At 52.3% G+C, this 16185-nt stretch overlaps 1 protein-coding gene across 3 annotated transcripts in view, besides 4 other annotated features; it reads left to right on the plus strand.

Moving 5' to 3' along the window:
- Nucleotides 1–16185, plus strand: part of QSOX1 (quiescin sulfhydryl oxidase 1) — a 49162-nt gene that overhangs the window by 10357 nt on the left and 22620 nt on the right. For all 3 annotated transcript variants that reach the window (NM_002826.5, XM_047426230.1, NM_001004128.3), the window contains exons 2-5: nucleotides 1266–1366; nucleotides 10096–10141; nucleotides 10706–10808; nucleotides 13569–13659. In NM_002826.5, coding sequence (NP_002817.2) covers nucleotides 1266–1366; nucleotides 10096–10141; nucleotides 10706–10808; nucleotides 13569–13659 — 341 coding nt within the window. The remainder of the gene's footprint in view (nucleotides 1–1265; nucleotides 1367–10095; nucleotides 10142–10705; nucleotides 10809–13568; nucleotides 13660–16185) is intronic.
- Nucleotides 485–1142: an enhancer, noted in NCBI's record as "H3K27ac-H3K4me1 hESC enhancer chr1:180134845-180135502 (GRCh37/hg19 assembly coordinates)". NCBI's record gives its function as "activates a minimal SCP1, AML or CMV promoter by ChIP-STARR-seq in naive H9 embryonic stem cells {active_cell/tissue: H9 hESC(naive)}" and the evidence as "EXISTENCE:reporter gene assay evidence [ECO:0000049][PMID:30033119]".
- Nucleotides 1143–1800: an enhancer, noted in NCBI's record as "H3K27ac-H3K4me1 hESC enhancer chr1:180135503-180136160 (GRCh37/hg19 assembly coordinates)". NCBI's record gives its function as "activates a minimal SCP1, AML or CMV promoter by ChIP-STARR-seq in naive H9 embryonic stem cells {active_cell/tissue: H9 hESC(naive)}" and the evidence as "EXISTENCE:reporter gene assay evidence [ECO:0000049][PMID:30033119]".
- Nucleotides 1801–2456: an enhancer, noted in NCBI's record as "H3K27ac-H3K4me1 hESC enhancer chr1:180136161-180136816 (GRCh37/hg19 assembly coordinates)". NCBI's record gives its function as "activates a minimal SCP1, AML or CMV promoter by ChIP-STARR-seq in naive H9 embryonic stem cells {active_cell/tissue: H9 hESC(naive)}" and the evidence as "EXISTENCE:reporter gene assay evidence [ECO:0000049][PMID:30033119]".
- Nucleotides 2457–3114: an enhancer, noted in NCBI's record as "H3K27ac-H3K4me1 hESC enhancer chr1:180136817-180137474 (GRCh37/hg19 assembly coordinates)". NCBI's record gives its function as "activates a minimal SCP1, AML or CMV promoter by ChIP-STARR-seq in primed H9 embryonic stem cells {active_cell/tissue: H9 hESC(primed)}" and the evidence as "EXISTENCE:reporter gene assay evidence [ECO:0000049][PMID:30033119]".

Here is a 16185-nt window from a genome sequence, read left to right on the forward strand (position 1 = left end):
CTGGGTGGGCTGCCTGTGTAAATTCCACTCCCTGCCCCTGGGGCATGAGCTTCAAATGGGAATTGTGCCTGCCACCAGGCAGGCCTCCTCCTCCTCTCATCTGCTTCAGAGACGCATGTGGGTCCAGCTGCCATGGACGTCATCCTGAGCTGTCCAGGCAGACACTCCCAGTCTGGTCTCTTCTTGCTCCCTTCTATTCTGGCTCCCATGCCTCCCAAAAACCCTCCTCTCCAGGCAGCCTGGTTTCTGCCAGTCCTCTCCTCCTCCACCTTGCTCAGGCAGTTCCCTGCCCACTGGACCGACGGTCTAGGTTCAACTCTGTTTCCACCTTTCCTGCTGAGCCCATGCCTTGGTCTGCAGGGCCGACCTCTCCAAACTTGAGAGTTCTGTGCCACATGATTTGGCCCCTGCCACTGCCCTCTCACGGCTTGTGTGTCTTCCTCTGTGCGCACCTTGGCTTCCAGCTGGAGCAGCCTCCATGTGGGTGGAACTTTGGTGGATGCTCACGGGGCACCTGACCTGGAACCTGAGCTCAGGAGAGCTGCCTGGTATATGAGCTTGTTTCTTCTCAGTTCCTGGGCTGTGGCCCAGAATGGTGCCATTATTCTCTCTGCCAATGTTTCAGCGGCCAGCAGCCTTGTGGCCCGGGGCCTGATGCAGGGGCCAGACTCTGGCCTCAAGGCTTCTTTCCCCGCAGTTCCTGGATTCCAGATGCTCCTGTTTCTGTCTGGGGACCCAGTTCCTGATACCCTTTACCCCAGTCACTCAAGCTCTGCCCACTACCAGTATCTCTGGCCCCAGGAAACTTCCCTAAGGGTCCCCTGGGGAATTCCAGATCCCCTAAGGCATGTTCTCCACCCTCTGGAACTGATCCCATTTAGAGCCCCAGGGACAAAGGCAATACCAGGGCTTTTCCTGGGGGGTGGGGGGCTGGGGGGATGGCGAGGAGCAGGGCAAACTCCTTCAACATCTCTCAGCCCCCATCCCTGGCCCCGATTAGTAATGGAGAAACAGATACCATTATGAGGCAGTATGACTTATGCTAATCATCCAAAACACAGGTTCCCTTTTGTGAGACGCTAGAAATGCAGACCAACTGGAATATCTCAGAGGTCCTTTTCCAAGGAAGGTGTGACCTTTGTCATAAGAGCTTTGGGATCAGGTGCTTTGAGGTTGGCAGGGGTGAGGCATTGCATTAGGGGAGATGGGCGGGCAGAGGGGGTACCAGCCCCTCTTATTTACCCCTGGGTTTTTTGTCCTTTCAGCCTGGAGGCCGGCCCTGTATCTCGCCGCCCTGGACTGTGCTGAGGAGACCAACAGTGCAGTCTGCAGAGACTTCAACATCCCTGGCTTCCCGACTGTGAGGGTGTGTGACTGACAGGAGGGGAAGGCAGGCTGGGCCTGCTTTGTTTCCCTTTATAAGGGAAAGGGACCATGTGGGATGTGTCGGGATGGGCAGATTTCAGCTGCTCTGATTTGAGCTGGGAGGTGATCATCACTTGGGCTGGTGAGAGCTCCCACCTCCCAAGGTCCTCTTCAATTGCTCTCCCTCTTGACCTCCAAGCCTTAAGAGGTCTGATCTAACTCTATAAAACCAGGATTCAGGCTCTGACCCACCTGTGGGCAGGGTCAGACTCTAGAAGCCTAGTGGTCCCCCACAAAGGGACCCCAGACACTCTGGCAAGCCTCAGCCTCCTCAGGCAAAAATGCCTTGAACCACAGGTAGCTAAGAAGGGACCTGTCAGGGTAGCCTCACCCCACTGTCAGAATGTCAGTGCCTCAGGCAGCAGGGATCCCCGGCACGGGAGTTATCACACCCAAGGCATGAGGGCTTTGTCACCCCCGCTCTGGTGGAAAGTGGCACGAGATCTCTGATGATGCCTTACCTGCCAGCCTGCCCAGTGCAGGGCATCAACAGCTTAATTAACGTCTGAACAGCTTCCAAGGCTCTCAAATAGGAGGCCCTGGATAGCCCAGGGCAGCAAGGCTGCTGCAGTTATGGTGAGGGCCCTCCCCTGGGCTCAGGCCTGGCTCCAATCCAATTAGTTTTCTTCCAGATTAGAGAAGCCAAATTCAAATCTCTGTCTCTGTAGCACCAGCTATAAATAATATGTACCCTCCCACCAGAATGGCATCTAGAAAACCAGTTTCTTCTGTAGCCATTAAGGATTATTAGGAAATGCCTTTGAAAGCTGAAATGCCAAGCATTGTCCCTGGAACAAGATACCTCTGAGCTGGGGGTAGGGGCAGCCAAGTTTCAAGCAGAACTGTGAGCCAGAACTCAGCTTAATTACCCCAGCAGCATCCATCCGGGAAGTAAGGCCGTGGCTCCACCAGGAACATCCAGCTCTAACTCCATGTGACCTTTCTGTTCCTCGAGCCCAGTGCAACCCCCACTGGATTCAGGGTTTCCACACCTAATAGAAGTCCCTTCCTAAACTGTTACCACATAGGGTCAGGGCCCCCCAGGCCCCAGGTTTAGCTGAGACCAGGTTGGTCTCCTGATAGCGAACCAACAGCTACTGCCGTGTCATTGAAAAGTGGCAGCAGAGAGTCTGCATGTCAATCATCCCTTTGAAATGAAAGGCCTTCCTGGCAGGGACATGGTGCTATCTTTGGCCCTAAGGTGTGTAATTGAGAATATTCAAACAGGGCACTCTGTTCCTTTGGCTGAACCAGGGTGAGTGGCCCTGAGTGGGAAGCTGTGGGCAAGTTAGTGTGGCACAAGGAACCATCATTCACAGGCTGATATTTTTCTCCCAGTGAGCATGAGCCGCAGGGGTGCAGCCACTGCCCAGCCCCCAGGGGAGGGGTTGACACTGGTACAGCAGCCAGGGCAAGACAACCGATTGGAGTTCTGTAGGGCCTGACACCTGAGCTTTCTGACTCTGCCTGGGAGAGGCTGGGCACAGCAGGGATGAAGGAGGCGGCCTAGGCCCAGGAGGTCAGAGGCTCCTCAGCGCCACCCCATGTCACGCAGCGCACGCAGCCTGGATGCCTCAGGTGAGTCACCATCTCCTGAACTGCCTGGCTGGCTGTGGGAGGGGCACTGGGAGGGCCCTCGCTGGGCTCCTCAGCCCTCCCCTGCCTCCAGACGGGCAGCACCTGGCAGGGCCAGTCTGGTAGTCATCTGTCCACAGACCAACACGGTGGCCTCCCCCGGCAAAGCCTTTCCTGCCTCTCCTGAGGAACCTGTGGCTCAGTTTTGGCCAGGGGGAGGCACCCAGTGCCCAGTCCATAGGCCAAGTGGCTTGAGCTGGCAGGTCTCTGCTCTGAGGTCCTATGCAGCGGCTCTCAAATAGTTTCTTACTGTGACCAACTGTAAGCAATACACATTTTTACATTGTGATCCCAAAGTTGGTATGTATCTATTATCATTAAACCAGAAGTTTCATAAAACAAGATTCTTACTAAGTGCAGTTAAACTGTGATATTTTCTGTTCTATTTTTTTTTTTAAATCCGGCTGTGATTAAATACATTGATTTGACAGCTCATTACAAGGTTGTTTCTAGTGTTTGGAAAACACTACTCAAACAGATTCCAATATCCAGAGATTCGGGGCCATGAAGAACCTGTGTGCCCTTGGCAGAGGCTGACCTGGAGACTGCTGGTGGGCCAGAGACATAGCCCTGTTGCCCTGCCTGCTGCCCTCTGGGGGCTGGAGCCTGTCCTTGCACTCTGTCCATGAAGAGCTGAAAAGCGAGGGCCCATGCGAAGCAGGGGGAGGAGAGAGTGCTTTTGGTATGATGGGGACAGGCCCACACACAAGTCTGGCCTCCCTGAGTGGCATGTGTGACTGTCCTTTTCTTCTGTCTCCAGCCCCTTGTCACTATGAGCAAACAGTGAGCTTCTACCAGCCCAGCCTGTTTAGCAAACACCTGGGCCCTGAAGGGCGGGCCAGCTGTGTCAGGTCCCCATCAGGTTGGAGCCAGAGCCCAGCTGGAAGGAAACAAAGGCGTGGGAGAGGGAGGGGCTGGTTGGCTGCAGGTTCTGGCTGGAGCTTGGCAACCTAGAGGCTGGAACTTCCGGGTCAAGGGGCTTCTCCGTGGGCCTCAGGAGTGCCCTTCAGTGGGAATAGAATGGGACTTTTTATGGCCGAAGGCCTGGCCGGAGCAAGGGGTACACAGCACAGCAGCATAGGGGTGGGGAAGGGCAGGTCTTCTCTCTTCGAGGCTCTGAGGAGATCAGTGATGTGGTTTCAAATCCAGGCCTCTCTGCTTACTGTGTGTGGCTTGGAAAGTCACTTATCAGTGCCCCAGCCGTGGGCCCCAGTTTCCTTGTCTGTAAACATGGGATGATAACATCCACCTAAGAGGACCGTTGCCAAGTGTGAAGTGAGGTCTCCCATATGCAAGTGCCACCATGCTAGTGTGATTTGGACTTCAGTAAAAGTTAGTTTGCTTCCTTCCCGTTGTCCCATCTCACTCCTGGGCCACCCGTGGGGCTGCTGGTAGCTGGTGTGTGGCTGCTGCTGGACTGTGTGGCAGTCCATCCATCTGTCAGCAGCCACTGCGGGCCTACTTGCTGGGTGCCCAGCACCGCACTCACCACTGCAGGCGTGGCCAGGAGCGTGAGATCCCCAGAGCCCATGGCCAGTGAGAGGCGGCCAGGGATAGGTACCCAGGGTATGCCACAGGAGTTTGCTGGGCTCACGGAGCTCTTTCACTGGTCAGAGAGGAGTGTGTGTAGGAGGGGACTTCTACTTGGTGTTGAAGGACAGATGGGGTTTGGCTGGGAGAGAGGAGGAATGTGGGCGGGCCTTATAGGCAGGCGAGAAGGTGAGAGCCAAGGCCCTCTGTGGGCAGGGCGAGGTGGCGTGTTGAGGAGACTCGTCCAGCTGGGCAGAGGCTCATGTTGAGGGATGAGGCAGAGCTGGGGGAGGAGGGAGCCCAGAAATGGCAGGTCCTTGAATGCAGGTTTGGAAGCAGGGACGCCCTGTGAGGGTACAGAGTCTGGGCTGTTACCTTCTGTGGCTTTTGCTAGAAGGTGAGATGTCAGGGAGGAAGACAGGACTCCAGGATGTCTCCTGTCTCTCTCTGGAAAAAGGAGGTGGGCCCCTTTCTCAGCAGTCAGCTGCTGTTTTTGAGGTCTTCTCCATGGATAATCCACGGTGTTGGAAGTGGTTAAGGTAATGGATCCTCATGGGCTTACCATAAAAATATCTGGAGGCTGGACCATTTTCCTTAAAACGTTATAAAAGCTGGAATTGAATGCCATCGGTGTCACCCCTGGGAAGTGTGCTTTCTCTTGAGCTCTTTTGGCCCCAAGATAGCAGTCACTCCATAGTTTCGTGAAGACCAGCCTGGTGTTGCCTGGTTTTCTGCCATTAGGGAGCAGCTAGAGGTCTTCCAGTAGCTCCTGTGTAAAGTGATGAAAGAAAAGGGCTGGGTGCTGACTGCTCCTGGAGAAAAGCAACACACTCCCAGAGTCTTAATTGCCTGCTTCCAGGGAGCTGTGGTGGTTTCCCTTGGGCAGGGCACACGCCCCAGTGGTTGACTTAATAAGGATACATTTTAATCAGAGGACAAAAATGTGCCCTGACTTGATTTCCGCATGGGCTTCCAGCATGGTCAAAGGGCAGAGATTCTCTGTTCAGCTGAACAGATGTCTATTGAGAGATGCCAGACACTGTGGAGCTTGCAGAGATAAATAAAATGTCGTCCTGCTTCCTGGTCAGAGGTGGGTGCATGGGTGAGTGGTGGATTCAGGTTGAAGTTCATTGCAGCTGGAGTGGCGGGAGTGGAGGGCAATGTGAGGTGAGTTTGGGTTTGGAGCCTGGAAGGCCTTGAATGCAGTGAGTTTGGACATTATTCATTGACAGTGGGGAGTCATGGAAGAGATTTGAGGAGGAGCAAAATGTTCAGACCAGAACTGTGCCTTAGAAAACTAACCTTAGTAGCAGTGAGGAAGATAGCTGGAGTATGAAAAGATTGAGCATACTAAAACTTCTGAGAGCATGAAAGGTGGGGACTGATGCAGTGACCCAAAAATACGTCATCATCTGTCGGGCCTGGTCTAGACAAGGCAGGTGGAGAAGGAGAGGACTTTTGAAGAGGTAACACGGAGGTCAAATTCATAGGACTTGTCAGCTAACTGGATGACGGGTTTTTGAAGAGGGGGATGGTGTGGGTGGCAGGGAGGGGGACTGGTTGCTGGGTGAGGTAAACACAAGTGGCAAAGCAGGTTGAGAGAGGGGTGATTCAGTCTTGGGGATGGTGGGGGAGGGGCAGTATCCAGACACCTGAGTGGAGGCCATCAGGAAGAACCAGGAGTCTAGGACAGGTGAGGTCTGAGATGCAGAGGGTTCAGATGGCAAATCATTTGGACAAAGTCATTGGCTTTGGCAAGGGAGAAATGATAGGTTTGTTCATTGATCCCTTTATCCACTCATCATTTAGAAGCAAGATTGAGCAACTTCTTTGTGACAGTGCCTTCAACAGCTTTTTAAACAGAAGAGTGTCAGGACCTGACATGTGTCTGTAGGAGAGACCGGGGTAGGAGATGGGGGTGGACAGTGGGCACAGGAGAGCAGTCGAAAGTGAAGCTAGGACCAGGGCAAGGGGGCCAAGTAAGGCTGGTCAGTGTCAAGCCAACCAGGGGAGGGTGGCAACGTGAAAGCAACAAAGGAGAGCAACCACAAAATGTGGCACGAAAGTTGACAAATGCTCGCCATGGGAAGACAAAGCAGGCAGTAATAACATCTGTACCAGAGAGAGGCCAGGAGGGCGGGGAGAGATCACTGGAGTGGCTGAAGAGAAGGTCACCAAGGAGCTTCCCTAGAACGGCTTCAACTGAGGGTTGTGGGGATGGCCAGAGAGCAGTCTGAGGAGCAAGGGCAGACGCTGTTCCAGGAACATTGGCAGCATGGGGACACGGGAAGGAAATGCGGTTACTCGAGAAGGAAGGAGGGCCTCTCTTCATCCCCATCCTCCTTCCCTTCCCATCCTTTCCTTTTTTAAGGGTTAGACTAGAAGGATTCGAATCTATCTGTAGGCCTAGTTGGGCGGCTGTAGTAGAAAAGAGGAATGATGAGAGATGGCTAGGAAGAAGTTCCTGAAGAGCGTGAGGCGTGGGAGCCAGAACTCGGAGGAGACATTGGCCTGGGAGGTGGGTGCGAAGCTTCTGAGGACAGAAGGGAACAGCTGAGGTGCAGCAGGGCCTTCCCTTCAGCCTGCATCCTGGGGAGAGGCTCTTGGGGTCCCTGCATCCCCCTGGGCCACTCTGGCTGACCGAGGTTCCTGGTCAGACTCCAAGCTGCTTGTGGCTGCAGGGATCTTGAGGGGTTGCCTTTTTAAAATTTTTTTATTTTTTGAGACAGAGTCTCTCTCTGTCGCCCAGGCTGGAGTGCAGTGGCATGATCTCGGCTCACTGTAACCTCCACCTCCCAGGTTCAAGCAATTCTCCTGCCTCAGTCTCCTGAGTAGTTGGGATACAGGTGCATGTCACCAAATTTGGCTAATTTTTATATTTTTAGTAGAGACGGGGTTTTACCCTGTTGGCCAGGCTGGTCTCAAACTCCTGACCTCAAGTGATCCGCCCACCTCGGCCTCCCAAAGTGCTGGGATTACCGGCATGAGCCACTGCACCCGTCCTGGAGAGGCTGCCTTTTGGTAGAAGTAATGCAAGCCTCTTTTAATATGGGCACCTGCTCAGATGTGGGTGACCTGATGGTTGATGACAAAAAAATGACCATATTACTTTTCAGAGGTGAAAATAACAGCTGTAGCTGTGGGAAAGCCACCCATCTCAAGGCTTCATGATGTCAGTGTTGTTCTCATATATGTAGAAACCAGTCAAAGTGTAACCTGTCTGTAAATAAACAAGAGCACCATCACCATGAATAACTGCAGCGCAACATCACCCTCGGGTTTCTTTTTTGTTTTTAAATTTTATTTATTTTTAATTTTTAACTTTTTGTAGAGATGGGGCCTCACTGTGTTGCCTAGGGTGGTCTTGAACTCCAGGGTTCAAGTGATCCTCCCTCCTAGGTCTCCCAAAGTGCTGGGATTACAGGTGCGAGCCACTGCACCTGACCTGGTTTATTATTTGTCGGCAAACCAAACCCCAAATAGATGTATCTTCAATTTTGTTCATGAAAAAGTGTCAGTCCATAAATGCCGTAACTTACATTATCAATACGATCTCCTAATCAAGGAAATTTATGATCATTTTCTTAAGTATTAGGATAACATAATTTTAATAGGCCAATAAAATTAAATAACTGTAAAGAACGCTATTTAAATATGTGTGGTATGTATAAGTGGATGGTTTTCATCCACAATAAAAGTTTATATTAATGTTTTGAAAAGAGAGAGTAAAGCAGTGAGCAGGAGTAAGGGCCCGGGGGAGGTCACAGGGAGCAGAAGGTTGCAGATGGGGAGAGACAGGTGGCTTCTCTGCAGCCTTTGTTCCTCATGTGGGAGAGGGTAGCAGGTGGCTTCCAGATTTTCTGCCTACAAATGTCTGTAACAAACAAGTCCTAGCTGATCATGGTTCCTAGTGTTTAAAAGGTATGAAGGAGGGAAGGGGATGCTGGTGGTGGGTGATGATGGTACAGTTAACATGTACCAGTTCCTTGATGTATGCACTAGGTACCATGCTAAGCACTTTAGATGTATGGTCATGGAATCCTCACAAGTCTTCAAGGTAGATGGTGTCATCCTCATTTCAAAGATGAGAACACAAAGGTTCGGAGCAGTTGATGCGTTGCCCAAGGTCACACAGCAAGAGCAAAGCAGAACCAGTCCTTGAACGAGGTCTGCCAGAGCCCGGGGCCTGTTCTCAGCTGCCAGCTTGGGATAAGGCCAAACAGCTCTATCCCAAGGAGGGAGAAGGAAACCAGTGTTTGGCTGTTGGAGGCAGAAGTCCAAGGTAGTGAAAAGTGGCCCCGAGGCTAGAGTCCCACAGGAAGAAGCCTCTTCCCAGCCTGCAGGCTCTCCCCTAGGCAGTTCAGTGGCCGGCTTCCAGGACAACTCAACTGTGTTCCCTCCTGAATCGGAAGAGCGCAGGCAAAAGCCTTGGCAGCTGTCTTGCCGCCTGGGCAGAAGCCCAGATTGCCAGGAGTCAGGCTCTGTTCGGTCTGTCCTCTTGCCCCAAGGAGGTGACAGACTAGGCTTGGGGTGTCATGTACATGGGAAAAGAGGACAAAGTGGTGAGTTAAATCAGCTAGTCTGTAGCAAGGCATGTTTCCCCAGGGACTCAGGTCCCCGCTTCAAGAGAACCTGTTCTGGAGACCCCTTCCTTGACTGTGTCTGCTGTGCTGGGCTGGGACTTAGTGGACAGAGACAGCAGCCTGTAAGCCCCTTTTCCCAAGTAAGGAGCAAGGGCACATTGACATAGAAGCAAGCTGACATTTCCCAAGGGACGTAGGAAGTGCCTGCACTTCATGTTTTCAGATGAGTCTGCAAAGGAAAACAGCAGTGGTACTTCATCACTCATCCATTCGATAAATATTGGTTAGTAATTACATGCTAGGTACTGTGCTGCATAGAAATGGCCCTCGAGGAGGAAAGTGTATGAACTGCTGCCCACAGGATCCATGGATGCTTCTGAGGGGTGTGGGAGGGTAACAGGGGAGGGAGCCAGTGTCCAGCTCCTAGAGCAACCTCCCCCCAACTCCCCCCAATTCACCATTTTACAGATGAAGAAACAGGCTCGGCCAGGCGCCTATAATCCTGACACTTTGGGAGGCTGAGGCGGGCAGATCACAGGTCAGGAGTTCGAGATCAGCCTTGCCAACACAGTGAAACCCCATCTCTACTAAAAATACACACAAAAAAAATTAGTCGAGTGTGGTGGTGGGCGCCTGTAGTCCCAGCTACCTGGGAAGCTGAGGCAGGAGAGTCCCTTGAACCTGGGAGGCAGAGCTTGCAGTGAGCCGAGATCGCGCCACTGCACTCCAGCCTGAGCGACAGAGCGAGACTCTGTCTCAAAAAAAAAAAAAGAAAGAAAGAAAAAAGAAACAGGCTCAACAACATTAAGTGATTTGCCCAGCCACCGCATTGAATAAGTAGGCAGATTTTCAGAGCAGGCCTGCGTGGCTGCACTCTTGGCCACTATCTATTACTGATGCCCACCTGTGTGTTTGCTTCCAGTTCTTCAAGGCCTTTACCAAGAACGGCTCGGGAGCAGTATTTCCAGGTGGGTGCCCAGCTCTGGTTGTCCTGTTAGCATCTTCCTCCCCCAACCTCCCTCTTCACCTGGGTTTCTATTGGGGTGGAGAAAGCCCTGGCAGTCGGCAGGGTCGAGGGTGAGGCGGTCCCCACGGGAAGCCTAACTTGTGTCTTCCCAAAACTATCCTCCCAGTCAGCTTTAGGGAAAGGCAGGATGAAGAAGCCCTTCAGGTTGGACATATCCAGGGCCCTAGGGTCGGGGCAGGGGCACCATGTTCCCAGAAGAGCTCTTCTGTCACAATGGGGTTGGCGCCCAGAGAGCAGACCAGAGCCCTTGGGGAAAGTCCTGACGACTCCCAGTTCTGAGGGATTCTTTCCTGTCTGAGGGATGGGTGTCCTTGCACTACTTGGGGCCACAGGAGGACTACTCAAGCCCCATTCTTCTAGCACAGGGAAGGACTGACGCCTCGTCTGTCTCTGTCAGAGCTGGCTGTGCCCTCGGCCCTTTGTTTCTGGGAGTGAAGGTGGCCAGTGTGCTGTGGAAGCAGCTCTGCTCTCCTGACACTCCGCTCACGCCTGTTTTCATTTACAGTGGCTGGTGCTGACGTGCAGACACTGCGGGAGAGGCTCATTGACGCCCTGGAGTCCCATCATGACACGTGGCCCCCAGCCTGTCCCCCACTGGAGCCTGCCAAGTACTTTGGGCTGGGGCAGGCTTAGTGCATTGTGGGCCAGGATCCCAGGCCTGGGAGTGAGAGGGTGGTGGGAACAGCAGGGCGGGGACCCCAGTTTATTTTCCTTGCTGCCTTTGCCTGTGGGGCTCACACACCAGTCTGCTGGAGCTACTCCAGAACCAAGTGGCAGCTGATGGCTGGTGGTGGGCTTCCTATCGCACAGGTCCTGCTGAAGAGCCCTGTTTTTCTGGGGCTGACTGATGGTGCAAGGGTCCATCCCACCAGGTGGGAAGGAAAAGATGGATGGGGCTTCTCCAGGTTGTACCTGCTGCTGTTTCTTGCTACCTTCCCTCAAAATGTTTGCGGGACGCAGCAGGATTTCACATGCTCTATCCCCGGGAAGGCCACTGAGAGTCAGAATGGCATGAGGAGGAAAAAGGAGATCAAATATTTTGAGGGAAATTGGGGGGAGGTGGAGAGAAGGTGGTCATGCCTGGGGCATGGGGGTGGCCCCTGGCTCTCTGTATGGCAGAGCATCAGGTGCAGTGGCCGGTGCTCTGTATCTGTCAGCCAGGCAAGCTTCCCAGCTTGCCTCTTTTCCAGGAAAATGAAGACAGTAAGGTGCATGGTCTTGCCCATACTTTCCCAAAGAAGAGACAGCTAGATTAAAAACACTAGGCCCCCCACTTCTGGATCAGAACTCAAGATAGGATAATGCCCACCTCGGAGGACTCTTGCCAAGAAGGAACAAATCCATGTACCAGCAGGAGCTGCTAGAGGGAGCCCAGCCTTGTACACAGTGGAGGCCCCAGGTGCTAAGAAGGCCTCACAAGGCCGCTGTTGGTGCGCAGAGGCTCTCTTAAAAGTTTGTGTGCAGGTGCTCTCAGAGACATGGCCCTGCTGAGAGATTGTGTTTCCAAGTGTCAGTTGGGGTTGAATCCAACTCACAATGACTCCTTTGTCATCTTTCCCAATTTTCCATCCTCCAGAGGGCCTCCAGGGGACCCTGGATACAGCATAGTCTTTATGTGGTTTGGGGTTCCACAGCCAGACCCTGTCTCTCCAGAAAACACCCATGTCAGCCTGTGCCCTGGTCCTTGCTGCTTCTATTTCTCAATGACTGTGTTTCCATCTCCCTCCTTACACACACACGTACATCCTCATGGCACATTTTCAGCCCTGGGGTATCTCAAAAGCAACAGCTCAAGCAATCCTGCCAAGGTCTCTCAAAGTGATCCTTTTTTTTTTTTTTTTTTGGAAGACAGAATCTCGCTCTGTTGCCCAGGCTGGGAGTGCAGCGGCACGATCTTGGCTCACTGCAACCTCCACCTCCTGGGTTCAAGCAATTCTGCCGCCTCAGCCTCCCGAGTAGCTGGGACTACAGGCGCCTGCCACCAAGCCTGGCTAATTTTTTGTATTTTTAGTAGAGATGGGGTTTCACCATGTTGCCCAGGGTGGTCTCAAACACCTCAGCTCAGGCAATCGGCCTGCCTTGGCCTCCCAAAGTACTGGGATTACAGGCATAAGCCACTGCACCCAGCCCAAAGCAATCCTTTTAAAGAACTTTAGGAAGGAGGTAGAGATGTGTGATGAAAGGTGAGCTGCCTCTTCTGAAGTCTGAGGGTGGGAGTGGGGAAAGGGGTACTGGCCCCCATGTAGGTTGTGCTCTTCTGCCAGCCTAGGGAAGACCCAGGGAAGAGGTCTGAGAGGCTGGCCACCTGATGCCACCCTAAAGGCTCAACACCTCTTTTCCTCCACCCCAGCGGGGTGCACTCTGGCCCTCACCTGTCTAGCATATCCATTTGGACTGTCACTGGCTGGGCTCCAGCATCAATACCATGTTTTTGTTTGTTTTGTTTTGTTTTGGATATGTTTTGTTTTGTTTTGGAAACTGGGCCTCAGTTTCCTCATCTTAAAATAAGGAGATTGGGTTAGAGATATAGATGGCTTCTAAGGTCTCCTGAACCCAAGGCTTTCTGATTCTTTCATTGCTTTTTAATGCCTGCTCTAGGGAGGAAGGAGCACATCTCCCCCTTGGTCGTGACTTGTCACAGTTCCAGACTTATAGCTGTTGGGTTCTAATACCCCCCAGCTCTCAGGGGACCAATAAAAACCACATCCAGTCAGCCTGGGCCTGCCCCAGCACATGGAGACAACTGGTCTCAAAGCAGCCCTTCCCAGTCCCCCTCCCCACACGGCCTCCTACCCACTTCCGACTCTTTTTGTTTGTTTGTTTGTTTTTTGGAGACGGAGTTTTGCTCTTGTAGCCCAGGCTGGAGTGCAATGGTGCAATCCCAGCTCACTGCAACCTCCACTCCCCGGGTTCAAGTGATTCTCCTGCCTCAGCTGGGATTACAGGTGCCCGCCACCACACCCAGCTAAATTTTGTATTTTTAGTAGAGACGGGCTTTCACCATGTTGGCCAGGCTGGTCTCGAACTCCAGACCTCAGGTGATCCACCCGCCTCAGCCTCCCAAAGTGTTGGGATTACAGGCGTGAGCCACCGCACCCGGCCCACTCCTGACTTTTAAAAAGAGACAGGAAGCAAAAACAAAACCAAGCACCCAAGGTAGGTCAGATGAAGAGCCAGGGTTAGATAACAAGAGCAACATCCTTTGAGACTAAAGGTTTGGTTGACTCCCTTGGAGGGCCCTGTGTGGAAGCGGAGGAGGGCGGGATGGCCATACCTGCAGCACTGCATCACCAGCGTCTGGCGTTGCCAGCGGTTTTGTCTTATTTCTGCTGGCTGTGCAGAGTGACTGCCAGAATTGTCTCTTGCAGGCTGGAGGAGATTGATGGATTCTTTGCGAGAAATAACGAAGAGTACCTGGCTCTGATCTTTGAAAAGGGAGGCTCCTACCTGGGTAGAGAGGTGAGCTGCCCTGAAGTTCCCTGCAATTCTTGGATAGCCATGGAGAGAGAGCCCCAGTTTGGGAGCAGGGCTTTTCCTGCCAATTCTAGGGTCTTGGCTGCCTGGGTCTTTTAGCCTGGCATTGGCCTGACCCCTGCTGGGAGCCATGGGAAGTGCAGGAGCTGGACCTTTGCGTTTCAAAACCTTGCTGTTTATTCTTATCTCCTTCACGGAAATCAAATATAACACCTGCTGTTATTGAGCATTGGACCAGATTGCTGACACACGTAGCTGCTAATCCCCAAAATTAATGAAGGTGATCAAATAGCATGCCCAAGATCACACAGCTAGTAAGTTGGTAGAAGAGGGCTTTGAACCAGGTCCGTCTGGCTCCAAAGCCAATGTTGTTTCCACAGTGTCCCACTCCATGGGACTGGAGTGAAATATTTGGGAGGGAGGGAACATTAGCGACGCCCTAGCCCCACCGGAGGAAATGGGGTCCTTTACCCAGATGCCGGTCTGTCTCATGTGGGGCATCCGTGAGCCAGCTCCCCAGCGCTTCCAGCTGCAGTGCCCTGTCTAGAAAGCAGGGATGATTACGTTTCTCCGTAGTATTGTTGGGAAGGTCAAATGCAGCAGTTTATGTAAAGGGCCTGGATTGCAGCTGACACATAGTAGGTGCTTTATAAGGATCCATTCCCCTCGCCTAATGCAGAGAGCTCACCATTCTGCCATTGGTTCATGGACTTCTCCATAGACCAGTTGTGAGCTTTTCCCAGCTGCAAAGGTGGGACGTGCCAGTGCACGGGAGATACTCCAAGTCAGTGCAGGGAGACAGGCATGAGAGTAGGCATGAAATTAAACTGCACTGTCAGCCTGAGTGATTTTCCTGCTGAAACTCAACAAGCACAGCTGAGAGTCTGAGCTGAAGCCAGATGCTGTCTCCAGGCCTCTCAGCCCTGAGAGAGGAGGCACAGGGGTTGGGGAGGGGAAAGACAGCTTGGCTTAAGGAGTGCCTGACCCTCTGGGGTCCCAGTTCATGCCTGGGGTCATGCCTGTTATGTAGAGGTGATAAATGGTGATTGGAATCAGGTCTTTTCCCTCCCCTCCCACCACAGTCCTTGAGTACCAAGGGGCTGGGGTCCCAGTGGTTGGAGCCAAGTGCCCCATGCCCATGCAGTGGTGCTTAGCGTGGGACCAGTGGCTAAGGGCCCAGGTTCTGGAGCCACACTAAGCTGGGATTTGTAGCACAGTTCAGGCATATGCAAGCTGTGTGATCTGGAGGCATGATTTCACTTCTAAGCCTCAGTTTCTCCAGCTACAAGATAGGAGCTTTATATTTATTTATTTATTTTGATTTTTGTGAGACGGAGTTTCACTCTTGTTGCCCAGGCTGGAGTGCAATGGCACTGTCTTGGCTCGCTGCAACCTCCACCTCCCAGGTTCAAGCATTTCTCCTTCCTCAGCCTCCCAATTAGCTGGGATTACAGGCATGCACCACCATGCCTGGCTAATTTTGTATTTTCAGTAGAGACGTGGTTTCACCATTTTGGTCAGGCTGGTCTCAAACTCCTGACCTCAGGAGATCCGCCCACCTCAGCCTCCCATAATGCTGGGATTACAGACGTGAGCCACTGCGCCCAACCAGGAACTTTATTTTTATTATTTTGAGATGGAGTCTCGCTCTGTCGCCCAGGCGGGAGTGCAGTGGCACAATCTTGGCTCACTGCAAGCTCCACCTGTCAGGTTCATGCCATTCTCCTGCCTCAGCCTCCTGAGTAGCTGGGACTACAGGCGCCCGCCACCACACCAGGCTAATTTTTTTATATTTTTAGTAGAGACGGGGTTTCACCATGTTGGTAAGGATGGTCTTGATCTCCTGACCTTGTGATCTGACCACCTTGGCCTCCCAAAATGCTGGAATTACAGGTGTGAGCCACCACGCCCGGCCTGGGAGCTTTATTTTTAAGTAAACACTTATGTACCTACTATGTGCTAGTCACTGTTATGGCATTTTAATAACATTAACCCCTTCAGTTCTCAGAACAGCCCCCCTGAAGTTGGTGGTATTATTATTATTGTTGTTATTATTATTTTGCAAGTAAGGAAATTTGGTCAGGGAAAGGTTTGGTGCAGTGGGGCCAGGATTCCAATGCAGGCAACTGTAGTGTACGGTGCCGCATCTCTTAGTCTCCTGAGAATAGCTGCTATTTCAGTGTTTCTCTGAAGATAAATGAGGCAATCTGTGTGGACACTACATAATACCTATGCAATACAGGTTAGCTAGTGCTTTCTCTTTATTTCTTTCTAAAAAAAATAATGATGACTGATGTATATTTTTCTGATTCGGAGTCTAGATAGGAAGCTTTATAAATATAAGAAAAAAGGCTAGGGGGCGCCACCTGCTCCATGGTGAAGAGTGAGACGTCAGTAACAGAAGTCCGTGCCTGCCATTTGCAGATGGCCTGTCCGATTATGCTCAGAACTTCTCTTCCCATTTCTAATGTGGGGACATTGTCATCTCAACAAGGCCTCTTGTTGCCTTCA

The sequence above is a fragment of the Homo sapiens genome, chromosome 1, assembly GCF_000001405.40.
Source record: "Homo sapiens chromosome 1, GRCh38.p14 Primary Assembly".
Classification (NCBI taxonomy): Eukaryota; Metazoa; Chordata; class Mammalia; order Primates; family Hominidae; genus Homo; species Homo sapiens.